Source organism: Homo sapiens, chromosome 4, assembly GCF_000001405.40.
Source record: "Homo sapiens chromosome 4, GRCh38.p14 Primary Assembly".
Classification (NCBI taxonomy): Eukaryota; Metazoa; Chordata; class Mammalia; order Primates; family Hominidae; genus Homo; species Homo sapiens.
Window position 1 is genome coordinate 173,953,611 of NC_000004.12, and position 27,303 is coordinate 173,980,913.

General features: G+C 36.8%; 2 long non-coding RNA genes across 5 annotated transcripts in view; one reads left to right on the forward strand and one right to left on the reverse strand.

Moving 5' to 3' along the window:
• The window catches only part of LOC105377543 (uncharacterized), a 66,783-nt gene that overhangs the window by 29,427 nt on the left and 10,053 nt on the right, over positions 1–27,303 (reverse strand). The gene's annotated exons all lie outside the window — the stretch shown is intronic.
• Positions 133–26,575, forward strand: LOC105377544 (uncharacterized). Of its 2 annotated transcripts, none has more exons than XR_939482.3 (3): positions 133–323; positions 2,340–2,439; positions 26,298–26,575. It is a non-coding gene; the product is annotated as an uncharacterized LOC105377544 (long non-coding RNA). The 2 variants fall into 2 exon arrangements; XR_939483.3 differs by lacking the exon at positions 26,298–26,575 and adding an exon at positions 6,861–7,439 and having other exon boundaries at positions 201–323.

A 27,303-nucleotide genomic window follows, 5' to 3' on the forward strand; every position in this document is an offset into this window, starting at 1 on the left:
AATGTTTTTTCTTTGTCGTCTCTGCATATAAAAGTAATTTCAGTCTACCTGTAAGAGCAGCATTTGCATTATGGAAGTTTTTGTTTGTTTGTTTGTTTTTGTTTGAGATGGAGTTTCACCCTTGTTGTCCAGACTGGAGTGCAATGGCGCGATCTCGGCTCCCGGCAACCTCCGTCTCCCAGGTTCAAGCAATTCTCCTGCCTCAGCCTCCCAAGTAGCTAGGATTACAGGCATGTGCCACCACGCCCGGCTAATTTTGGATTTTGTAGTAGAGACGGGGTTTCTCCCTGTTGGTGAAGCTGGCCTCAAACTCGCGACCTCAGGTAAACCACCCGCTTCGGCCTCCCAAAGTGCTGGGATTACAGGCATCAGCCACCACGCTCGTCCAGAAATTGTTCTTTAAACATGATTCAAAGAGTAAGAACTATGTTAAGAATCCAGTGTGAGCTCTCATCTAGGCTAAGTTCCATTAAAGTTTTGGGTAACAAGCTTACTAAAATGTTAAATTAGACTTTTTTCACCTTATTAAAAGGGAGGAGGCATCATTTGGGACAACATAATGATAAAATTGTGTTTTCAAATTTAAAAATCTACTATCAGTAATTCTCATCACACTTTGTTTTTTAAAATCTGTGCGGTTTTTACTGCCTGGGGACATAATTAGCATCTGGTTATGAGCAAGGCGGGGAATAAGGTGGAGTGAGACATCCTGGTCCTGGCCCTGGTTATCAAGAAATTAGACAGGTTAGGAACAGCCTTCTCTCTCCTAAACTTTTACACTTGATCTTAGACAAAAGGCCGAGAAGTGATCTCTCCCAAACTTTTAAGGCAATTATTGCAAAATCTAGCCAGCTGAAATATACAAAGACAAAGATATAGGTTTTAGAGAGAAGAATGATGTGATCAAAATAAAGAACATTATGTTTCAAAGTGACTGTAAGAGGTAACTTATAGGAAGTCAGAGAGAATAAATAAAAAAGAATGTGTAATTCTTGAAAACTTTTCTCTGCCATACTTGAGATCATGAATATTTTTTCCATCAAACAAGAAAACAAGGAAAACCATTTTGCTAAAGACTATAATTCCCCTAAATCACAGCACCTATATTTTGCACTTTTTAACACATTGTTCACAAAATAATTAATACCTAGAAACTGACAGATTGTGGACTCTGAAAACAGAAAAGCCCTATGATCAATTCTTGATCATTTCCCTGTATATTGTTTACATTATCTTTTCCTATCTCTCCAGGCCCCTATTGATTTGAATTAGGTGGCAAAAGGATATTTGATTACGTTAGATTTCTGCCCTAAGGTTAACGAGTAATGTTTGTGATCTGAAACAGGGATATTACATTGACAGTGTCAGGAACGACCCCAGCTGTGCAAAAAAGGTGTCAAAATGCCAATAACCAAGTGTGTGGTGAAGGTCGTAGAGACTATATCTGGCCGCTTGGTGGGCAGATCATAAACTCTTAATCAGTGGTACTTGGGCTGGGAAAGCCTCATAATTTATCCACACATGTCTTTTCTTCTGAATACCACACCCCATCAATTCACAGCGTAAGGCTTTGAACATTTTCACAAGCAAATCTCAAGGTATTTCTTTCTAACTTCCATTTAAATAGGTGGCAAAGAGAGGCATCTCCTTTGCTTTCAAAAGTCTAATTATTCTAGACCTCCAATGCAGCTCATCCTTTTTCATCTTTTTAAAAATAAACTACAGTCTACTCGAGGGTGGAGGGTGGTAGGAGGGAGAGGATCAGAAAAAAATACCTATTGGGTACTCTGCTTACTATCAGAGTGACAAAATAATCTGTACACTGAACCCCCATGAGACACAGTTCTCCTATATAACAAACGTGCACATGTACCCCTGAACCTAAAGTAAAAGTTAAAATAAATAAATAAATAACATATGAACTGAGCGTCTTAAAAATGATACATCCTTCCAATGATCTGAATCATGAGGTCAATTTAAACTCCCAAGTGTCGCAGAATGAGGCTCTGCACTGCAATGAACGTCAGAACCAGTTTACAGAGTTTCTAATTCAGTTTTTTGTGGCAGTTACAAAGACTGCCCAAGTCCCCCACTTGTCTGGTTTTAAAGTGGCTTTAAAAATTTTTCATCTGTTTTATCCAACTTAATTTTGATGATTATTTACAAGGATATTCTTTCTTTCCATCATTCAACATTTATTGCGTGCCTATACTACGTGCCCAAGCAGAAGTCTGGGATTTGGGATATTAGTGAAGACAACACACAGATGTGTGAACTTTGTTTTTACATAATTCTTTATTGCATTTTGGCTAGTTTTATATGTGGAATCTGTATCACAGGTATTCGATGAGATCAGGAGCATGCCCAGCTCTCCACTGCGGGCTTCATGTAAGAGGAGAGCCATGATAATGTATTGCATTATTCTTGTACAGTAATCAGGTATGTTGTTTCTCTACACATAAGTTGAATAGAACAGCTCTTTTTCATTTTCAAGTTTATTGAGTCTGACTCTATCACCTACCAGTCAAATAATCTGCCTACCATGTGTTCAATAACTATGATTCAAATCCTCCATGAATCACCTCTGGGTCAATGTTGGGGCGAAAAGAAATTCATAAAAATGGTAAATTCCTGTAGCCTTCCAGTGGTTCGCTCTTTCTGTCTCTGACTTCCTTTTTCACTTCATCGACCCTGTCATTAGCTCTACTTTCAATTCATTGAGGAGAAAAATAAAAGGGATGGAAAAATTACACACATGTGTTGTGGCATGTAGTAATCAATGTTTTAGGTAGATACTTTTTACGATTGCCCTGTTGAATTCATGCTACAACTGGCTCCTGCTGGTGGTAAGAATATAGCTGTGGGACGTGCTAGGTCTGCATGTTGGGGGCCTTGCAGTCCGATCAATATTCCGCATTGTTGGAATTATGTTTTTATTATCAGACATGACAAATTTGGGTCAGAGGTTAGAAGGCATTCATATGTGAATCCTTCCTAGCCATGACTGAATAATTTTTCTTATTTTCAGATTCATAACTTTTAACAAATAATAATGTTCTCTCTCCAGAAATAGGATGTTATATCTTAAGTTTAAATTATCACACATACTGTCCAAAAGAATTTGAATCCTATTCCTACCGTCCCCTTCAGAGCCTTTCTCTGCTATTGGTTATGCATGTTATACAAGGAGTTGTTAATGTTTTTTTTGTTTTGTTTTTGGCGGAGCAGGGGATGGAGTCTCACTCTGTTGCCAGGCTGGAGTGCAGTGGCACAATCTTGGCTCACTGCAACCTCTGCTTCCCGGGTTCAAGCGATTCTCCTGCCTCAGCCTCCCGAGTAGCTGGGACTACAGGCATGTGCCACCACGCCCAGCTAATTTTTGTATTTTTAGTAGAGACGGGGTTTCACCATGTTGGCCAGGATGGTCTCGATCTCTTGAACTCGTGATCCGCCCGCCTTGGCCTCCCAAAGTGCTGAGATTACAGGAGTGAGCCACGGCGCCCCGCTGGAGTTGTTAATCTTTTAAGCTGTGAGCCGTGACTGTGCTACTGCACTCCAGCCTGGGCAAGAGGGCAAGACTCTCTCTCTATACGCATACACACACACACAAACACACATACATATACAGAAACACACATATGTATACCTCTCTCTCTCTCTCTCTCTCTATATATATATATATAATTTGTAGTCTAGGTGAAATTTTAATCAAGGGGAAATCTGAAGAGTGATAATAGGAAATAGGTATCAAGACATAATCATGGCGGTTACGTCTATAAACATCAGCATCATTTGAGATGTTTTATATATGTTTAATTTTAGGTTTATATACATATGCAAAAAAGCTAATAAAGCTACTAATTATCTTCGATAAGCTCCATAAATCCTAAAATGAAATATTCATTCATTAAAGATACCTTTCTGATTATGTGGCTTCGTTAATTAATGTTATCAGATGCTACTTTGCATTCATGTTACTGTGTTTGAAATTTTTATTTCTAGTATTTTTTATCAAAACTGTCAAAAAGATGGTAATGCTGTCAAAAGTTATTTGCTCAGAGTATATTTCTCTAATAATGCTTTTGCTTATATTATGCATGCTCTTTTTTGAAGAAGTTAAACATTTTTGTACATTTTATACAAAGACGAATATTATTTAGAAATGCAACTATTTAAATTTCATTTCAAAAAAGCAAAACTACGCTTCTCGCAATTTGGTTGCTTTTACAGAAACCCCATTACAGAGAAACACACACACATACATACATATATATACACACACATACATATATATACATACATATATGTATATACATTTATACGTATGTATATATATCTGTCTGAGAAACGTAGTTTTGCTTTTTTTAAATGAAATTTAGATAGCTGCATTTCTAAATAATACTTATCTTTCTACAAAATGCACAAAAATATTTAACTTTTCTTCAAAAAAGACCAGCATAATACAAGCAAAAGCATTATTAGTTAGAGAAATATACTCTGAGTGAATAATTTTTGACAGCATTACCGTCTTTTTGTATAGTTTTGATAAAAATACTAGAAATAAAACATTTTCAAGCACAATAACATGAATGCAAAGTAGCATCTGATAACATTAGTTAATGAAGCCACATAATCAGGGAGGTATCTTTAATGAATGAATATTTCATTTTAGGGTTTATGGAGCTTATCAAAGAGAATTATTAGCTTTACTAGCTTTTTCACACATATATGTAAACCTAGAATTAAACATACGTAAAACATTATCTCAAATGATGCTGATGTTTATAGACGTAACCACCATGATTATGTCTTGATACCTATTTCTGCTTCTTACTCTTCAGATTTCACATTGAGTACAATTTTAAACTACCTATCTCAGCAAAAATAAAATCTCATCTCAATTACAATTTGTGTACTCACAGCATAGGAAGCAAAGCTACAATCCTGATATGTTAAAAAATGAATTACATCATTTTATAAAAATTGTGGCACATCATTTATTTCCTCATTACACTTTCTGTTTCTCAGAGGAATGATGATTCAGAGTTGTGGTTTACTTAACTAAAATAGATTACTAAGTTAGCATAAACTCAATCAGTGGGAAACCTGACAGTCGGCACAGTTATTTATGATGTGCCAAATGCAAAATCATGCTCCTACTTTGAGGTTTTGCTAACAAGGCACATTGCTAATTCCAAGGAGGAAAAAAAATCTATTCTAAGATATTTGGACATAAACATAACTTTACAATAGTATTTATGAAATGGTTTCATGGCTTATATAAGATATGTTGATATAGGATTATCTGGCAAAAGGTTTGTAAAATTAAATAAGTTTATATTGTAACTGAAAAACAAAGCAACTGAGAAAGAACAATCAGTAAAGAAACAGATTTTAAAATATTATTTTTAAAGACATTTTACAACGAACAGATTCCTGTCTAACTTTTCAGTTTATCTTAAAATTGCCTCCTTTTCTTTTTTACACTTTGTAGTTTTTCCAACTTAATCACTGAATTCTGGAAATATTTCTATAACACTACCAAATTAATGAGACCAATGGGCTCCTGTGTAACGGTAGATTGTGAAAGTCAATTTGTTAATTTAATAAATTAACAAAAGGAAAATGGAAACTATGAATCCATATTGCCTTTGATGCATTTAAAGTAGGAGAGAAACTTTGAAAACATGTCTATATAGTCATAAAAATATTTTACCATAAAGGATCTGTTCAGATGGCATCTATGCCTGTTTTGTTATTGTATCAATAACATTAATTTCCAACAAAAACACAGACTGATTTTAAGAGTTATAATTTGGAATTTTTAATTTAGAAATTAGAAACACTATAAATGTTTTTATGAATATCATTTCCATATTAAAATATGTTAGGCATATTTTCATGAATATAGAAAAAATAACAAAAAGGAAGTATACATTCAATTCAGCAAATATTTAGTAAGTTTCTACCATGTAGCAATAACTATTCTAAATGTAGAATACAAAAATAAGTATAAGTGGCTCATGTTATCAAGGACCTTATAATTTAGTAAAATAGAAGTTATGCTCTTGTGAATAATGTTTATTTATAATAGTACAAGGTTGAGTGCAGTTGTTGAGAGATTGGTATATCGAAACTTTGGAAGAGAAAACTATAATGTAGCCTCCAGTGTTTAGGTTGTCATGGACAATGCAGGCTTTAATCTGGAAAAGTATGGACATTTTAGTTTGTGGAATGAGAAAAGATGCCAAGACCAGACTGAAAAGAAGTTGCTTAAAAAGTTAAAATGAAGAGCTAATTTGCTTGAATAAGAAGGAATTAGTGGGAAATAAGCATGGAAAGAAAAATCTAGTATCAGATTTGGAGGACTTTAAATACTTTCATAATAGAATAATTTTTATATTCCAGACTTAGCTAGTAAAATTGGTTTCTATCCTGTAAACCCTGAAGATTCTAAAAGACCTGAGGAATGCAGTGTTTTGGAAAGGTTAATATCTGCGGTGTATTGGTGGGAAAGACAATAGAGGCAAGAAAACTAAAATAGTGAAAACATGTAGTTACAATTAGGACATATATGGAAAGCAGTAGAAATGTTGAAAAGGGGCGAGTGTTAAAGATATATTCAAGGAATATTTATCCTCCACTCAGCAAGACAATTTCCTTCAAGTCCTCATCTAAAATTTTTTCTTTTATGTTCTGCGGTTGTGATAGATTAAAGATGCCTGCAAAGTCTTTGCTGCATCTGCCATTGAGAAGTACAGTTTAGTTCCCCTCTCCCTGAGTGTTGGCTGAGTTTTGTAAGCCTTGCTTGAACAACAGAATGCAGTACAAGTGATATTTTGAGACTTCTGATATTATAGATCATAGGTCAAAAAGGACACACGGTTTCTGGCCTGTCTGCTTGGAACACTTGCTCTAGACACCTGGCTGCCATAGGAGAGGCCAACGTGAAAAGGAACCAACGCCCCAGACGATAGCCCCAGCAGGGCTCTTACCCAGCAGCCTGCACCGTGGAAGTGAGCCACCTTGGAAGTGAATTCTCCAGACCTGTAGAGCTACACCAGCTCATTCCATGAGAAGCAGAAATGAGCTGCCCAGCTGAGTCCTTCCCAAATTCTGGCACACAAGATTGTAAACAAGACTATTTTAAATTCTCAAATTTTGAATGCAGTTTGTTATGCAGTAATAGATAATCAGAGAAGGAGTAGAGAATAGTATATAAAGTCAACACAGAACCAAAAAAGAAGATCAAATTTTAGGTGACATGTTTTGTTTCCAATTATTATTATTGAAACATTAAATCCTTCCTGAGTGTAAGTGATCCAGATGAAATGAAAGTAATTGGAAAAGTCTTGACTGTGTTATGAGGCCTTAGAGAAAATAAAATCCCTTTAACACATGATTCCCAAAGCACAAAATAAAATATATTCAAAATGTTATGGCATTGAAATCCATGAGTGTCCTTTCTTTCCTTTCTCACTGAAATTTATTAGAAGATAATAATCTGTGCATTACCTATTGATGGTTTTTCAGAGCTATTTTCTCCTCCTTTGATATGTAGTATGAATTTATTTATTTATTTATTTTTAAGATCTACTCTTCTACTAAATTTCAAGTATACAATGTATTATTATTAAACTGTAGTTACTATGATGTAAATTAGATCTCTAGAACTTATTCATCTTGCAACTGAAAGCTTTTACACTTTGACCAACACCTCCCCATTTCCACCACCCCCAGCCTCCGGCTACCACTATTCTATTCTGTTTCTCTAAGTTCAACTATTTTTAGATCCCACTTAATTTATACCATACAATATTTGTCTCTCCATGTCTGGCTTATTTCCCTTAGCATAACCTCCTCCGAGTTCATCTGCCTTGTAGCAAATGGCAGGATTTTCTTATTTTTAAAGGCTAAATTGTACTCTATTGTATAGATATACATGACATATTCTTTATCCATTCATCTGTCAATAGACATTTTGGTTGTTTCCGTATCTTGGCGACTATGAATAATGCAGCAATGAACATAGGAATGCACATACCTCTTTAACATATGGATTTTATTTTCTTTGAACATATACATAAGTGAGACTGCTAGATCGTATAGTAGTTCTAGTTCTAATTTTTGAGGAACTTCAAAATGCCATTTTTCATAATGGCTATACCAATTTACATTTGCATCAATAGTGTGCAAAAGTTCTCTTATATCCACCCCTCACCAACACATTATCTCTTCTCTTTTTGACAAAGACCAAACTAACAGGTGTAAGAAAATATATCTTTGTAGTTTTGATTTGTATTTCTTGTATGATTAGCGATGTCCAGCACCCTTTCATACACCTCATGGCCATTTGGTCAGGCGAACGTGGTAACAACTACACTATGGAAACCAACTGTTGGCCATTTTATATGTCTTCTTTGGAAAATGTCTGTTCAGGCCTTTTGCCGATTTTTAAATCAAGTTATTGTTTATTTTTTGCTATTAAGTTGTATGAGTTCCTTATATATTTTGGCTATAACTCCTTATCAGATATATAGTTTCCAAATATTTTTCCCAATCCATTGATCTTTTATCTTGTTGACTGTATTATTTGCTGTGCAGGAAGCTTAATTGCTATATTTTTGTCTTGCATTTACAGTTTCATGTCCTACATTTAAGCCTTTAGTGCATTTTGAGTTGTTTTCTGTGTATGGCTTAAGATAAGATTCTAATTTAATTCTTTTGTATATGAATAGCCAATTTTCCCAATATCGTTTATTGAAGAGACTATCCTTTTTCCATTGTATATTTTTGGCATCCTTGTTGAAGACTAGCTGACTGGATATAGGTGAGTTTATTTCTGGGCTCTCTGCTCTGTTCCATTGGTCTATATGTCTGTTTTTATGCCAGCATCATACTGTTTTGATTACTATAACTCTGTAATGTGCTGTTGACTCTTGAAGAACACATGTTTGAGTTGCACAAGTCCACTTATACGTGAGTTTTTTTCAATAAAATTTACACCAAGCATGAATGCCTCTTCTGTCTCCCCTTCCACCTCCTCCACCTCTTCTGCCTCTTGCCACCCCAAGACATCAAGAACAACCTTTCCTCCTCCTTAGCCTACTGAACATGAAGACAACAAAGATGAGGGTCTTTCTGAAGATCCACTTTTACTTAATGAATAGAAAATATATTCTCTCTTCCTTATGATTTTTTAAAGATAACTTTCTTTTCTCTTGTTTACTTATTATAAGAATACAGTATATAAATACATATATAAAACATGCATTAAGCAACTCTTTTTATGAGTAAGGCTTCTGGTCAACAGTGGGCTATTAGTAGTTAAATTTTTTTGTTATTATTATTATACTTGAAGTTCTAGGGTACATGTGCACAACGTGCAGGTTTGTTACATATGTATAGATGTGCCATGTTGGTGTGCTGCACCCATTAACTCGTCATTTACATTAGGTATATCTCCTAATGTTTTCCCTCCCCCCTTTCCCCACCCCACGACAGGCCCTGGTGTGTGATGTTCCCCTTCCTGTGTCCAAGTATTCTCATTGTTCAATTCCCACCTATGAGTGAGAACATGCGGTGTTTGGTTTTTGTTCTTGCGATAGTTTGCTGAGAATGACGGTTTCCAGCTTTATCCATGTCCCTACAAAGGACATGAACTCATCCTTTTTATGGCTGCATAGTATTCCATGGTGTATATGTACCACATTTTCTTAATCCAGTCTACTGTTGATGGACATTTGGGTTGGTTCCAAGTCTTTGCTGTTGTGAATAGTGCTGCAATAAACATACGTGTGCATGTGCCTTTATAGCAGCATGATTTATAATCCTTTGGGTATATACCCAGTAATGGGATGGCTGGGTCAAATGGTATTTCTAGTTCTAGATCCTTGAGGAATCACCACACTGTCTTCCACAATGGTTGAACTAGTTTACAGTCCCACCAACAGTGTAAAAGTGTTCGTATTTCTCCACATCCTCTCCAGCACCTGTTGTTTCCTGACTTTTTAATGATCGCCATTCTAACTGGTGTGAGATGGTATCTCATTGTGGTTTTGATTTGCATTTCTCTGATGGCCAGTGATGATGAGCATTCTTTCATGTGTCTGTTGGTTGCATAAACGTCTTCGTTTGAGAAGTGTCTGTTCATATCCTTTGCCCACTTGTTGATGGGGTTGTTTTTTTCTTGTAAATTTGTTGGAGTTCATTGTAGATTCTGGATATTAGCCCTTTGTCAGATGAGTAGACTGCAAAACTTTTCTCCCATTCTGTAGGTTGCCTGTTCACTCTGATGGCAGTTTCTTTTGCTGTGCAGAAGCTCTTTAGTTTAATTAGATCCCATTTGTCAGTTTTGGCTTTTGTTGCCATTGCTTTTGGTGTTTTAGACATGAAGTCCTTGCCCATGCCTATGTCCTGAATGGTACTGCCTAGGTTTTCTTCTAGGGTTTTTATGGTTTTAGGTCTAACATTTAAGTCTTTAATCCATCTTGAATTAATACTTGTATAAGGTGTAAGGAAGGGATCCAGTTTCAGCTTTCTACATATGGCTAGTCAGTTTTCCCAGCATCATTTATTAAATAGGGAATCCTTTCCCCATTTCTTGTTTTTGTTGGGTTTGTCAAAGATAAGATGGTTGTAGATATGTGGTATTATTTCTGAGGGCTCTGTTCTATTCCATTGGTCTATATCTCTGTTTTGGTACCAGTACCATGCTGTTTTGGTTACTGTAGCCTTGTAGTATAGTTTGAAGTCAGGTAGTGTGATGCCTCCAGCTTTGTTCTTTTGACTTAGGATTGACTTGGCAATGTGGGCTCTTTTTTGGTTCCATATGAACTTTAAAGTAGTTCTTTCCAATTCTGTGAAGAAAGTCGTTGGTAGCTTGATGGGGATGGCATTGAATCTATAAATTACCTTGGGCAGTATGGCCATTTTCATGATATTGATTCTTCCTACCCATGAGCATGGAATGTTCTTCCATTTGTTTGTATCCTCATTGAGCAGTGGTTTGTAGTTCTCCTTGAAGAGGTCCTTCACATCCCTTGTAAGTTGGATTCCTAGATATTTTATTCTCTTTGAAGCAATTGTGAATGGGAGTTCACTCATGATTTGGCTCTCTGTTTGTCTGTTATTGGTGTATAAGAAAGCTTGTGATTTTTGCACGTTGATTTTGTATCCTGAGACTTTGCTGAAGTTGCTTATCAGCTTAAGGAGATTTGGGGCTGAGATGATGGGGTTTTCTAAATATACAATCATTTTGTCTGCAGACAGGGACAATTTGACTTCCTCTTTTCCTAATTGAATACCCTTTATTTCTTTCTCCTGCCTGATGTCCTGGCCAGAACTTCCAACACTATGTTGAATAGGAGTGGTGAGTGAGGGCATCCCTGTCTTGTACCAGTTTTCAAAGGGAATGCTTCCAGTATTTGCCCATTCAGTATGATACTGGCTGTGGGTTTGTCATAAATAGCTCTTATTATTTTGAGATACATCCCATCAATATCTAATTTATTGAGAGTTTTTAGCATGAAGGGTTGTTGAATTTTGTCAAAGGCCTTTTCTGCATGTATTGAGATAATCATGTGGTTTTTGTCTTTGGTTCTGTTTGTATGCTAGATTACGTTTATTGATTTTCGTATGTTGAACCAGCCTTGCATCACAGGGATGAAGCCCACTTGATCATGGTGGATAAGCTTTCTGATGTGCTGCTGGATTCAGTTTGCCAGTATTTTATTGAGGATTTTTGCATGGATGTCCATCAGGTATACTAGTCTAAAATTCTCTTTTTTTGTTGTGTCTCTGCCAGGCTTTGGTATCAGGATGATGCTGGCCCATAAAATGAGTTAGGGAGGATTCCCTCTTTTTGAATTGGTTGGAATAGTTTCAGAAGGAATGGTACCAGCTTCTCCTTGTACCTCTGGTAGAATTTGGCTGTGAATCCATCTGGTCCTGGACTTTTTTTGGTTGGTAGGCTATTAATTATTGCCTCAACTTCAGAGTCTGCTATTGGTCTATTCAGGGATTCAATTTCTTCCTGGTTTAGTCTTGGGAGGGTGTATGTGTCCAGGAATTTATCCATTTCTTCTATGTTTTCTAGTTTATTTTTATAGAGGTGTTTATAGTATTCTCTGATGGCAGTTTGTATTTCTGTGGGATCAGTGGTGATATCCCCTTTATCATTTTTTATTGCGTCTGTTTAATACTTCTCTCTTTTCTTCTTTATTAGTCTTGCTAGAGGTCTATCAATTTTGCTGATCTTTTCAAAAAACCAGCTCCTGGATTCATTGATTTTTTGAAAGGTTTTTTGTGTCTCTATCTCCTTCAGTTCTTCTCTGATCTTAGCTATTTCTTGCCTTCTGCTAGCTTTTGAATGTGTTTGCTCTTGCTTCTTTAGCTCTTTTAATTGTGATGTCAGGGTGTCAATTTTAGATCTTTCCTGCTTTCTCTTGTGGGCATTTAGTGCTATAAATTTCCCTCTACACACTGCTTTAAATGTGTCCCAGAGATTCTAGTATGTTGTGTCTTTGTTCTCATTGGTTTCAAAGAACATCTTTATTTCTGCCTTCATTTCGTTATGTACCCAGTAGTCATTCCGGAGCAGGTTCTTCAGTTTCCATGTAGTTGAGCAGTTTTGAGTGAGTTTCTTAATCCTGAGTTCTAGTTTGATTGCACTGTGGTCTGAGAGACAGTTTGTTATAATTTCTGTTCTTTTACATTTGCTGAGGAGTGCTTTACTTCCAAGTATGTGGTCAGTTTTGGAATAGGTGTGATGTGGTGCTGAGAAGAATGTATATTCTGTTGATTTGGGATGGAGAGTTCTGTAGATGTCTATTAGGTCGGCTTGGTGCAAAGCTGAGTTCAATTCCTGGATATCTTTGTTAACTTTCTGTCTTGTTGATCTGTCTAATGTTGACAGTGGGGTGTTAAAGTCTCCCATTATTATTGTGTGGGAGTCTAAGTCTCTTAGTAGATCTCTAAGGACTTGCTTTATGAATCTGGGTGCTCCTGTATTGGGTGCATATATATTTAAGATAGTTAGCTCTTCTTGTTGAATTGATCCCTTTACCATTATGTAATGGCCTTCTTTGTCTCTTTTGATCTTTGTTGGTTTAAAGTCTATTTTATCAGAGACTAGGATTGCAACCCCTGCCTTTTTTTGTTTTCCATTTGCTTGGTAGATCTTACTCCATCCCTTTATTTTAAGCCTATGTGTTTCTCTGCACGTGAGATGGGTCTCCTGAATATAGCACACTGATGGGTCTTGACTCTATCCAATTTGACAGTCTGTGTAGGTTCATATTGTTATGTGTGAATTTCATCCTGTCATTATGATGTTAGCTGGTTATTTTGCTCATTAGTTGATGCAGTTTCTTGCATCAATGGTCTTTACAATTTGGCATGTTTTTGCAGTGGCTGGTACTGGTTTTTCCTTTCCATGTTTAGTGTTTCCTTGAGGAGCTCTTGTAATGCAGGCCTGGTGGTGACAAAATCTCTCAGCATTTGCTTATCTGTAAAGTATTTTATTTCTCCTTCACTTATGAAGCTTAGTTTAGCTGGATATGAAATTCTGGGTTGAAAATTCTTTTCTTTAAGAATGTTGGATATTGTCCCCCAGTCTCTTCTGGCTTGTAGAGTTTCTGCCGAGAGATCCGCTGTTAGTCTGATGGGTTTCTCTTTATGGGTAACCCGACTTTTGTCTCTGGCTGCCCTTAATATTTTTTCCTTCATTTCAACTTTGGTGAATCTGACAATTATGTGTTTTGGAGTTGCTCTTCTTGAGGAGTATCTTTATGGCATTCTCTGTATTTCCTGAATTTGAATGTTGGCCTGCATTGCTAGGTTGGGGAAGTTCTCCTGGATCATACCCTGAAGAGTGTTTTCCAAATTGGTTCCATTCTCCCTGTCACTTTCAGGTACACCAATCAGATGTAGATTTGGTCTTTTCACGTAGTCCCATATTTCTTGGAGGCTTTGTTCGTTTCTTTTTACTCTTTTTTCTCTAAACTTCTCTTCTTGCTTCATTTCATTCATTTCATCTCCAATTACTGATACCCTTTCTTCCAGTTGATCGAATCACCTACTGAAGCTTGTGCATTTGTCACCTAGTTCTCGTGCCATAGTTTTCAGCTCCATCAGGTCATTTAAGGACTTCTCTACACTGGTTATTCTAGTTAGCCATTCATCTAATATTTTTTCAAGCTTTTTAGCTTCTTTGCGTTGGGTTCGAACTTCCTCCTTTAGTTCAGAGAAGTTTGATCATCTGAAGCTTTCTTCTCTCAACTCATCAAAGTCATTCTCCTTCCAGCTTTGTTCCATTGCTGGTGAGGAGCTGCATTCCTTTGGAGGGGCAGAGGTGCTCTGATTTTTAGAATTTTCAGCTTTTCTTCTCTATTTTTTCCCCATCTTTGTGGTTTTATCTACCTTTGGTCTTTGATGATGGTGACATACAGATGGGGTTTTGGTGTGGATGTCCTTTCTGCTTGTAAGTTTTCCTTCTAACAGTCAGGACCCTCAGCTGCAGGTCTGTTGGAGTTTGTTGGAGGTCCACTCCAGACCCTGTTTGCCTGGGTATCAGCAGCAGAGGCTGCAGAACTGCGAATATTGCTGAACAGCAAATGTTCCTGCCTGATCGTTCTTCTGGAAGCTTTGTCTCAGAGGGGTACCCAGCTGTGTGAGGTGTCAGTCTGCCTCTATTCGGGGGGGCGGTGCCTCCCAGTTAGGCTACTTGGGGGTCAGGGACCCACTTGAGGAGGCAGTCTGTCCATTCTTAGATCTCAAGCTTCATGCTGGGAGAACCACTACCCTCTTCAAAGCTGTCAGACAGGGACATTTAAGTTTGCAGAGGTTTTTACTGCCTTTTGTTGGGCTATGCCCTGCCCCCAGAGGTGGAGTCCACAGAGGCAGGCAGGCCTCCTTGAGCTATGGTGGGCTCCACCCAGTTCGAGCTTCCTGGCTGCTTTGTTTACCTACTCAATCCTCAGCAATGGCGGGCACCCCTCCCCCAGCCTCGCTGCCACCTTGCAGTTCAATCTCTGACTGCTATGCTAGCAATGAGCAAGGCTCTGTGGGCATGGGACCCTCTGAGCCAGGCACGGGATATAATCTCCTGGTGTGCCGTTTGCAAAGACCCTTGGAAAAGCGCAGTATTAGGGTGGGAGTGACCCGATTTTCCAGGTGCCATCTGTCACCCCTTCCCTTGGGTAGGAAAGGGAATTCCCTGACCCCTTGCATTTCCCGGGTGAGGCGATGCCTTGCCCTGCTTCAGCTCACACTGGTGGGCTGCACCCACAGTCCAGCCCCCACTGTCTGATGAGCCCCAGGGAGATGAACCTCAGTTGGAAATGCAGAAATCACCTGTCTTCTGCATCACTCACGCTGGGAGCTGTAGACTGGAGCTGTTTATATTCAGCCACCTTGGAACCCCCTAGTAGTTAAATTTTTGAGGAGTCAAAAGTTATATATGGATTTTCAACTGTGCAGGGGAGTCAGCACCCCAATCTTTGTGTTGTTTAGGTGTCAACTGCAGTTTAAAATCAAGAAGTGTGATGCCTCTAGCTTTGTTCTTCCGTCTCAAGATTACTTTAGCTACTTTAATTCTTTTGTGGCTTCACATACATTTTAAGATTGTTTTCTCTATTTCTGTGAAAAATGTCATTGGTATTTTGACAGTGATTACATCGAGTCTGTAAAGCAGTTTGTGCAGTATCAACATTTCGACAACGTTAATTCTTTCAATCCATGGACATGGAATATCTTTATTTGTGTTTACTTCAATGTTTTTCATCAATGTTTTAGTTTTCAGTGTACAGGTCTTTTAACTCCTTGGTTAAACTTCCGCCTATTTTATTCTTTTCGATTCTATTGTAAATGGGATTGTTTTCTTAATTTCATTTTTAGTCAGTTTGTTGTTAGTGCATAATAAATGCAACTGATTTCTGTATTCTGTCCCTTTACTGAATTTGTTCAGTAGTTCTAAAAGTTTGGTAGAACTTTTGGGTTTTATGTGTATAAGATATTGCCATCTGCAAATAGAGACAATGTTACTTTTACTTTTCAAATTTGGCTGCTTTTTATTTCTTCTTTTTCTTGACTAATTGCTCTGGCTGGACTTTTTCAGCATGATGCTAAATAGAAATGGTAAGAGTCACATCTTTGTCTTGTTCCTGATCTTAGAAGAAAAGCTTTCAGCTTTTACTATTGAAGATGGTATTAGCTGTAGGCTTGCCATAGATGGCCTTTATTGAGTTGGGGTACATTCCTTCTATCCCTAATTTGCTGAGAGTTTTTATTCATGAAGTAATATTGAATTTTGCCAAATGTTTTAAAGTTTTTTCTACATCTATTGGGATGATTACATGATTTTATCCTTTATTCTGTTAACAACATGCATAACCTTTACTGATTTGCATATGTTAAATCATCTTTTCATCCTGGGGTAAATTCCACTTGACTTTTGTTAATATTTTCTTGAGGATTTTGCGTCTATGTTCATCTGACATATTGGCCTTTAATTTTTTTTTTCTTGTAGTGCTCTTATTTGGCTTTTGTATCAGAATAATGTTGGCCTCATAAAATGAGTTTGAATATGGTCCTTTCTCTTCAATTTTTAAAAAGTTTTAGGTGGTGTTAATTTTTTAAATGTTTGGTAGAATTTCCCAGTGAAACCATTTTGTCCTGGGTTTTTCATTTTTGGGAGGTATTTGATTACTGATTCAGTCTCTTTGTTATAGGGCTGTTCAGATTTTCCATCTTTTCATGATTCAGTCTTGGTAAGTTGTATGTTTCCAGAAGTTTATCGATTTTTTGGTTAAACAATTTTTTGGCATAAAAATTCTCATAGTAGTCTCTTATAATCCCTTGTATTTCTGTGTTATCATTGTAATGTCTCCTTTTATTTATAAATTTACAGTTGGGCACATTGGCTCACACCTGTAATCCCAGCACTTTGGGAGGCTGAGGTGGGCAGGTCACTTGAGGTCAGGAGTTCTAGACCACCCTGGTCAACATGGTGAAACCCCGTCTCTACTGAAAAAATGCAAAAAATTAGCCAGACGTGGTGGCACATGTCTTTAGTCCCAGCTACTTTGGAAGCTGAGGCAGGGGAATTGCCCGAACCCAGGAGGTGGAGGTTGCAGTAAGCCAAGATCACACCACTGCATTCCAGCCTGGGTGACAGAATGAGATTCCATCTCAAAAAATAATAATAAAATAAATAAATAAATAATTTTATTTCTTTCTTTTTTGAGTCATATCTCTTTTATTCTTGGTTAGTCTAGCTAAAATTTTGTCAATTTTTAAAATCTGGTCGATCAATTTTCATTCATATTTTCTATCTTTTTAAATTTCAATTTCATTTACTTCTGCTCTAATCTTTATTATTTACTTCTTTCTGTTAACTTTGGGCTTAGTATGATCTTCTTCTTCTGGTTCCTTGAGGTGTAAAGTATAATTGTTTATTTAAGATATTTCTTTTTCTTACTGTAAACATTTATCACTATAGACTTCCCTCTTGGACTGCTTATGCTGTTTCTTATACTTTTTGGCATGTTGTATTTCCATTTTTGTCTTAACATATTTTTTGATTTACCTTTTTCTGCCTTCCTTGACACATTAGTTGTTCAAGAGGTTGTTGTTTAATTTCCACATATTTCTCCATATTTCAATTGTCTTCCTATTCTTGATTTCTAGTGGCATACCACTGTGATTATAAAAGATACTTGATACGATTTCAATCTTCTTAAATTTGTTGAGACTTGTTTTGTGACTTAACTTATTTATCCTAATGTTCCATGTTCACTTGAGATGTTTGTTCAGCTGCTGTTGGATATTTACATATGTTTTGTATATGTCTGTTAGGTCCATCTGGTCTAAAGTGTAGTTCAAGCTCAATGTTTCATTTTTCTTTTTTTGGTTTTCTGTCTGAGTAATCTATCCATTGTTCAAAGTGGTGTGTTGAAGTTTCCTATTATACTTGCATTGCTTTCTATTTCTCTCTTCATTTCTATTATTATTTGTTTTATATATTTAGGTGCTCCATGGTGGGTACATACTGATTTACAATTGTTTTATCTTCTTGATGGATTGACCTCTTTATAATTATATAATAAGCTTTTTTGTGTCTTGTGACAGTTTTTGACTTACAGTCTATTTGGGCTGTCATAAGCATAGCTAGCTCTGCTCTGTTTGGGTTTCCATTTACATGGAATATCTTTTTCCATTCCTTCATTTTTAACCTGTCAGTATTCTTAAAGCTAAAATGATTGTAAGCAGCATATAGTTGAGTCTCATTTATTTAATCCACTCGGCCGCTCTTGTATTTTGATTAATTTATTCCATATACATTTTAAGTAATTATTCATAGGTAAGAACTTATTTCTGCAATTTTGTTAATTATTTTCTAATTATTTTGTAGTTCCTTTGTCCCTTTCTTCATCTCTTGCTGTCTTCTTTCGTGAATTGATTATTTTTTTGTAGTGGTATACTTTGATTCCTTTCTCTGTATCTTTTGTGCATCTGCTATATAATTTTTTTCCCTGAGTTTATTGAGTTGTCTGTGTTCTCTTTTATCTTGCTGAGCTTGGTTATAATAATTGTTTTGAGTTATTTTCAGTTAATAACAAAGGAATAACATTTCATATATCCCCATTTCTTTGGAGTCAGTTACTGAAAAATTATTGTGTTCCTTTGATAATGTCATGTTTTCATTTTTTTCTATGCTTCTAGTGGCTTTGCATTGATATCTTCACATTTGAAGCAGCAGTCACCTCTTCCTTTTGGGTTGGCTTCAGTGGAAAAAGACTGTCATCTTTGGATGGCCACAAGGGTGCCAACTAAATGAGGTGCACCACTTCCATTTCTGGGTTGGGGACAGCAGTGCAGCCGCCTCGCAATTCCATCAATGTCAATGTGAGCAAAGGCTGTGAAGGTCCTTGGCAACCAAGGTTGCAGATGTCGGTGGTGGTTGCAGCTGCAAGAGTTGTTGGGGTCCTTGGCAAAGTCTGCTGGGATTTTTCTGTTCTCCTCTCCCTTATGGGAAATAATTCTAGCTGAGGGAGTCTCTCTTGGTGTTGGATCTGTCGTGCTGATATGCATGCAGCTGTGGTGTTGCTAGAATCCAGGGCATAGACATACTGTGGCAACAATAGTGCCTGTGTGTGTAGGGTGCAGACATCATAACCAAGGTCCTAGGCGCAGGGGCACTCATGGTGGTAATGGCACCTGGGTTTAGGGTATAGATGCTCAGAGTGGCAACAGAGCTGGACATGAGGAACTATTGTGTCACCTAGGGCCTGGGGTGCAGATGCACTTGCTGCATTGGTGATGCTGGTGTCTGAGGCAGAGTTTTATGCAGATTATTCATGAAGCTGGGGTTTGGGGTCTTGAGCTACAGGGTGACTTGGCTCCAGGGGTCAGGACTCAGCAGCAGCACAAACCCAGTTATGATAGGACACAGCCTGGGCCTCAGGGGCACGATACAGTGGCAACACAGCTAAGGAGATGGTAGGTTGCCACCACAAGACAGGCCCAAGGGTTTGGGACACAGAGCAGTGGCAGTGCAGCCCTAGTGATGGTGAGCCAAAGCCACAAATTAGAACTCAGGTTGGCAGGGCAACCTCAGTAATGGTTTGTCACAGCCAAGACTCAGACCCCATAGAATGAGGCACAGAACAGCAGAAACACAGTCCCTGTTTCAGCAAGTCAAAGTAGTGACTTAGAACCCAAGGGGCAGAGAACAGAATGGTGGCAGCTCCAACTCTGTAGATGTCAAGGAGTTATGGTATCTTGATCCCAAAGGGCAAAGCATATCAGCTAGTGACTCAGGCCCCGAGTTAATGCTCAGTGCAGCAGCAGGGGATGCAGCAGTGGCTCCTTCTCTGGGACAGCAATGCAGTATGGACTCTGGGAAGCTCTGTGAGCTGGGCTCAGCCTAAGTGAAGACTGGGGGAATCCTCAGTAGCAAAGGTTGCAGGTTTCTATGGTATTGATGTAGATTGCTGAGGTCCTTCTGCTCCGCTTTTTTTCACAAGGTGCAAATCCTCTGAGGGGGGTCCCTCTTGGTGTTGATCTGCTCCACTAAGCTAGGGGATGGAGTGAGGCAGGTAAAATGCTTCCTGGACTCTAATATGCAGCTGGCCCCAGTTTTTTTGCACCCGTGGGTTTCTACTGCTCCTTCCTTATAGTCTAGAACTTTCTTAAAGAAATTTTCGTTGGTGCGCAGTTGTTTTTATTTATTTCTTTATTTATTTTTGAGGCGGAGTCTCGCTCAGTCGCCCAGGCTGGAGTGCAGTGGCGCTATCTCGGCTCACTGCAAGCTCTGCCTCCCGGGTTCACGCCATTCTCCTGCTTCAGCCTCCCGAGTAGCTGGGAATACAGGCGCCCGCCACTACGCCCGGCTAATTTTTTTGTATTTTTTTAGTAGAGACGGGGTTTCACCGTGTTAGCCAGGATGGTCTCGATATCCTGACCTCGTGATCCGCCCCTCCCAAAGTGCTAGGATTACAAGCGTGAGCCACCGCTCCCGGCCAGTTGTTTGTATATTTATTTATTTATTTATTTTGTGGGAGGGAGACAGGCATCATGGCCTCCTAGTCTACCATTTTGCTGATATCACTCAGTATGAGATTATTTAAAATTTGAATTTGTTCAATTTACTTGATATCAAATAAATTTGATATGCTCATTTAATAGCTTATTTATGAGTTCCTGCCTTGTTAGAAACATAGTTAATCACTACGTTTTTTGTGGATAATCAGTTTATAGCAAGTGAAAATAGTTTATTTCCTATTCTTATCATATGCCTGAGAATAGGGAAGATGATTTAACTTCTCTTACCATGAATAATGAGAGAAGAGGTAATACTCTTGAGAGAAATAAACTATAATTTTAGTGATTGTTTTCCTGAGGAATTTGTAAACATTTAACAGCATTGTTTTTTCTTATGTATTTTCTAACTATTTATTGATTATTTTGCTTTGTTTCATAAAAAATAAAAATGAGAAAAATATTTCTGCAGGCAGATGTTAGAAAGGCAAATTAACACTTGCTTTTTTACACGGTTTAAATACTAATTGGAAGACAATAGAGTCAAAGAAGTAAGAATTTATGGGTTAGGTGCCAAGAAATGCTTCAAAACGTAAATGCAAACATGTTTTTCAGCATGAAAGTAGGGAAGAGAGAAGTAAACTCGTTTATTTCTTCATTTATCTCTTTAAGTCATCAGAAAAGAAGAAAACAAATATGAGCTTTCATAATTAATAAGAAATCACATTTAAACAAATTACACTTTCTATTAAAATTATTCTCTGGTAATCTATTCATCAACATCTCACAATTTATATATGTAGCTGTTTAGATGATTCAGAAAATACGGTAGAAGAGAGGGATGCTACTCTCACAAAATCCTAGAGCAGGATTGCCCTTGGGGCAAAGTAGCAGATGGAAGCCAAAGGACATCACAGGGACTGTTATTGAAGCTCAGAGTCTTCGAGGAGAGCATTTGGGCTTTGAGCAGACTGTTGGGGAAAGTGTTCAGGAAAGTAAGAAAAATGTCACTGGATGCTGGAGGAAAGGAGACCTTAGTTATGTACGTAGTGCCAGAATGTTTGGCAGCACTATCACCCGCAGTAACTTGGACAATAGAAAATGTACTCAATGAATTTTTAGATCTATCTAGGGAGATTTCCAGGTAGTGTGGTGAAGGTACCTTCTGGCCTCTCTATGATAAAATGTGAGAGGAGAATGGTAAGTAACACAAAAGACTGCCGCTAAAATATCAGAGTAGGAAACAATGGCTCAGAATGGAAGTAATACTCCATTTGAAATGGTTTTGAATTGAGCTATACCCTTGTAAACATTATTTTGAACGTATTTATCCAGGAACCTAAATACCACAAGCATCCAACAAGAGAATCGTTCTAAAAGATTGTAAAATATTAACCCATTTTTCTCAGTACACCATTATAATGAATGATGGTGTATGTTTGTAATGAAGGTCTGAAAGTTGGAAAATAATCAGAGGAGCCGCTGAGCCCAGGCAAGATGTAGATAAAACAGAATGGCTGACTGGTGTGGCATTAGGAGCTCTGACTGATAACGTGCAAGTTGAGACAGTTCTCGGTTCTTTATATATCATAGGCTACAACTACTTTAAACAATAAGGTAAAAAAAGGTATATATGTAATAATCCTAATATGCCTTTTTTTCAATATTTGGAATCTTTAGAGGTAAAACATTTAAACTCCAGGTATATCACTAATCATGACAGGACTACTTCAGGTAATCAATATTATATTAAATTTACCATAAACATTTGTTAACACTATTTTGCATTCTGATGACATGTTTGATTGCTAAATCAAACAAGAAGGAAAAGATAGCCCACATGCACTGAGCAAGAAATGGTTAAGCAGCCAGCTTATGCATACTACAACAGCTAGGGAAAATCCTTGCTATGACTTAGGAATGAAGGCAAAAACGCGGAGTCTTTTAAAACCTGGATGTTATTACTTTGTTCCCAAATCCAAGATGACCATAAAGACACCTCCCCACTACTCCCTCCCCCTCTACAGGAGCTCAGTCTGGGAAGAAGGAAGCCAACCTGAAGGCATTACACAACTGCAGGTTTAAACGGAAATGTTCAAGATCCAGAAGCCAGTAACATCGAATGTGCAAATTGATTCTTCAGCCTGAAATTATTTTATATAATAATGAATGGAGTAACAAAATTTGGCCCAAATTTATTTCTGATTCTATAGTTAGTCAGAACCTACTAAGTGGTAGACAGTGAGGAAAACAAAAATTTGAAAAAGTCTGTTTCTGCCCTCAAGATGCTTACAGGTAGACTTTGTACAACTCCAATACAAGTCAGCCTATGATAGTATAATATTAAAACATAAATATATAACATGAAAGTATAAACATGGCACAAGAACATTGAAAAGTCATTCTACTTGGAGGCATGGGCGTTTGGAGTTTCAGAGAAAGCTGAAATGAGAAGGTGGCATTTGAGTGGTTTTAAAAAGCACATAGTAATTTGGGAAGAAAGATAATGTGGGAGCAACGTAAGCAAAAAATAAAATAAAATAAAGGTGTGAAAATACATGATAGATTCAAGGAATTATGAGCAGTCTCACATTTTGATATGGCTACATAAACGATGGTCATAACCTTTGAAAGCAATTGATAAATATCCTAAACACCATGTTCATAATGAGTTTGGAGTTTGGACTTTTATCTGGTGGGCAATGGAAAGTAATAGAAGTATTTTAGGCAAAGTCATGGCATAATCAGATCTGTGTTTGGGGAAAAATCAACTGCACTCTCCAATATGGTAGTGATGAGCTGCTTGTGGCTATTTAAACCTAAATTTAAGTTAATTAAATTTAAATAAAATCAAAAACTCAGTTCCTAAGTTGTAGTAGCCACAATTTAAGTGCTCAGGGCAGATATAGAGCATTTTTGTCATTGTAGAAAGTTCTATTAAACAGTGCATATGTAGAGAATGGACCAGCGACATCAGGCATTAGAGGGAATAAAACTAATTAAGGGGCGAGTATTTTCACAGTCACCCCAAAAGATAATGAAGCCCTGCTATAGGAGGAGTGGTAATGGGAATAGAAACTGAGTAGACAGAGGCAAAATCAATTTATAACTTAAAGGTGATTGGGGGCTAATAGTGAAATTTAATTCATATGCCTATCCTCTTTAAGAGTACTTATTTAAGAAACAGATATAAGATTCAGAACAAAATATTTTCTAAATTACTAAAATAGGGGAATTGGGAAATGTGGCTTTAATCTGGTGTCACAATCATATTTTTAATGCCTGTATTCTAATTCTATATTTTGGAAGCTGCAAGAAAAAAAATTGCAAATCTAGGGGAGTGTGGTAGGTAACCTCCGTGGTGGTCCCCAGTGATTCTTCCTTCATGGTATCCACACTTGCTTAGCCCTCTTCCTCTTTGAATAGAGCTGACCTGTGTAACCAGTAAAATGTCATGGAAATAATTGTGTTAATTCTAATCTGGCAAAGTCAGAATGGACGTTAAAGCTTCCATTTTTCTCCTGCTTGGATCAATCACTCTTGTGGAAGCCAGCCATATAGCAAGGCCACTCAGCCCTAAGGAGAAACTGACATGGCAAGAAGGCCCCCACCAGCAACAACTATGAACTTAACCAGCATGTGTAAACTCCAAGGAGTTGGAAACAGATTCCCCAGCCCCAGCCAAGCCTTCAGATGACTGCAGCCCTGGCTGACATCTTGACTGTAATCTTATGATAAACACTGAAACAGAATATGAGCCAAGATACCTAGTTAAGCTATCCCTATAATTCTGACCCCATATAAACCGTGTAATATTATAAATGTTTATTGTTTTAAACTGCTAAGTTGTGGAGTAAATTTTTTGCACCAATAGATGTAGGGAGTTGTTTCTTAGACAGCTGATCCTTCATCCAAAGATGTAAGGAAACAAGACAGACATCTACATGACTTTTGACCGTATTCATTCCATACAGTCAAGATATGTGGACCAGTGAACTTTAAAATTTCACTATTCACATTGCTGCAATAAGTCAGCCCTCTCATGAAGACCTTAGGTATGAAGTTTGCTAGTATATTCTAAGAGAAATCTCTTATAGAAGCATGAGAACAACTTCCTAAACATCAGTGACCGGTTATAGAACATAAGACAGAGCAATGAGTCTAAGATGACTTTGGATAAAGCCTACACTGAGACAGAGATGGGCTTTGCAATGGAGCTTCTGTTGAGTTTCCTTTTTCATATTCAAGCAAAGAATGTGGAAGAAGTGTAGTGCACATTTCAGGAACTTTGGATTATAAGCTTATTATCATTTTGACTTCTGCTCATGTATTTGCTTTAATCATATTTTATATTTCTAACCAGAGTATCAGTTACAGACATATTATTTTCATTAATTTACTCAAAACATTTAATTTAATGTTAGAAATGCTTGAGAAACATTGTCACAATTTTGCTTCCTCTTACTATAACAGATATTTGCTTTAATTAGTTTTTACTTTGATTGTACAAACTTAGTGCCAAAAGCACATAGCAGTTGATATGTCATTGGAATAGAATATAAATTCTAGTAATAAAAATAATAAAAGAATTTAAAAATCACATCATAGACATTTCAAGTGAAGTTATTATAAACCAAGGACTTCAATAGCAACCATTCCTGGAGCCCCTGTGTTAAATTTTTTCCTTTAAACTAGCATCATTTAATTCTCTGAAAGAAAATTTAATTTTGGGTTTCTGTTACAATGATAATCTAGAAAATTAAGACATGCATACATTGAATCATATAGCTGACCATGTTAACCTGAGTGTGGCCACTCAAGTTCAATTCCCATGTTTGTACGTGTCTACAGTCCCATTGACACTAACTGAAGGCCAAATAATGTTGCAGTTTGCCATATAAATTTTTAAAAATAACAATATTTTGAACGTAGAAAAGTGATGAGAGGATTAGATAATTGTAGGATAATTATTATTACTTATAGCATTATTATTATTAAATAATTGTAATTGTAGAGAGAAAAATTGACAAGTCAAATTTTAAAAAATAAACAATAACCCTATATTGTGGCTTTAGGTGCCATATTTGAGCTCTAAACTGGCATATGGGGAAGACCCTGTTTGCTGAATTTGCAAACATTCATTTGCAGTAAGGATAGTGGTAAATGAAGTGTGAAAAACGTTTCCATTTAGGTTACAGAAATAATTGATTTAGATATCCATTTAATGTTGATTTCAGTAACACTCAATTTCACCCCAACCTCAAGTAAACAATATAGTTGAACAGAGCTATCAAGAACTACCTTGTTAAAATGACATGTAGAATAATATTGAGTCTTTACATTTCCCTTTATGACTGTTCTTTTCATTTATAAATGACTAATAGAATAACCATCATTTTATACAGGAAATAATGTGCCTATAGAACTAGGTTTTTTAGAGGATTGAGTAGTGGTATGCCAAACACAGTAGAAAATGTTATGAAATATACTTTTTTATTTGTTAAGTCATGTAAGTTATTTGCCATATGTAAACTTTCAGATTAATAAATTTTTTAACTTAGTCATTCTAATTTTTTCCTTGTATCTTAAGCCTTCCTCTTTTTTGCCTCAAAATCACAGTGTACTGGTGTAAATTCTCTAGGCATAGACTTAATAATCACAGAAAAGGTACATACATAATGTAATATGTTTGTTTAGGGCTCAATATGTCATTTCAGTTTTTGTGTTTCTCCTCACACCTATACTGGTACTGAAAGGATGCAACAGAGTCATCAGCAAATATACAACTTCATATCAACTAAAGGTACTTTACACAAGAGAAGAGACTCCAAGGCAACAGATTTCCTATAGCAGTCTTTTCCTAAGAGTACTAAGGTAATTAGCCTCAACAGGAGATAATTTCGGTTCACAGGGGTTGCTGTTGTTTTAAGTGTTTCTGGGAAAATTGGATTTTCCATTGATAGCAGTTTTAACATGTCACACTGGAGCCAGAGTGAATTAAACTGAAGAGCTACACAGTCTAAACAAACATTCCTTCCCATTATCAGAAGCCTGACAACATAATAGCATAAACTATAGTCATGTGGTCACATTCACAAGTAATGCAGAAACAATTAAAAATCAAAGAAATGCTACATTTTGTAAAGCAGACTTAGTTGAGGTAAGCATGTTTAAAATTATTACTTTTCCTTCCTCCCCTACAAGTTTTATATTGTGCTTTAAAGTTGAAAAAAAAATAGCAATGTTTGTTTGAATCACGATTAGTGATTAGAAAATCCAAATCTCTCTAGCCTGTGTTTTGTAATACCAAAGTAGACCGTGGTACCATTGCAACATAATTCAAGTATTTAAACTTTGAAAACACTGCTGATTTGACATGCTTATTTTTTAATATTTTTCTGTTTTACAAAAATTGCACAAATTACTGAAATAAATTTGGAGCTGTAATTCCACTATGTGTTACCTTTCCTCAAAGACGTTAATCAAATTTGGTTATATTTACACATGTAATGGATGATATAGTTTACATGTCAAAAGTAGGGTGCATTTATAGATAATTTTTCTTAATTTCATAACTAAGAGATTTTTAAAAACTCATAAAAATTGATAGAATTACACTTCAGTAGGCTCTGAAATGAAAACATTTTGTCAATAATTTTGAAATTATAATATTACTTTCCTACATTTAGATGACTTGTGAAGATAATAAAAAATTATCAAAATGCTTTTGGCTACAGAATGTTTGTGTCATAAAATAGTAAC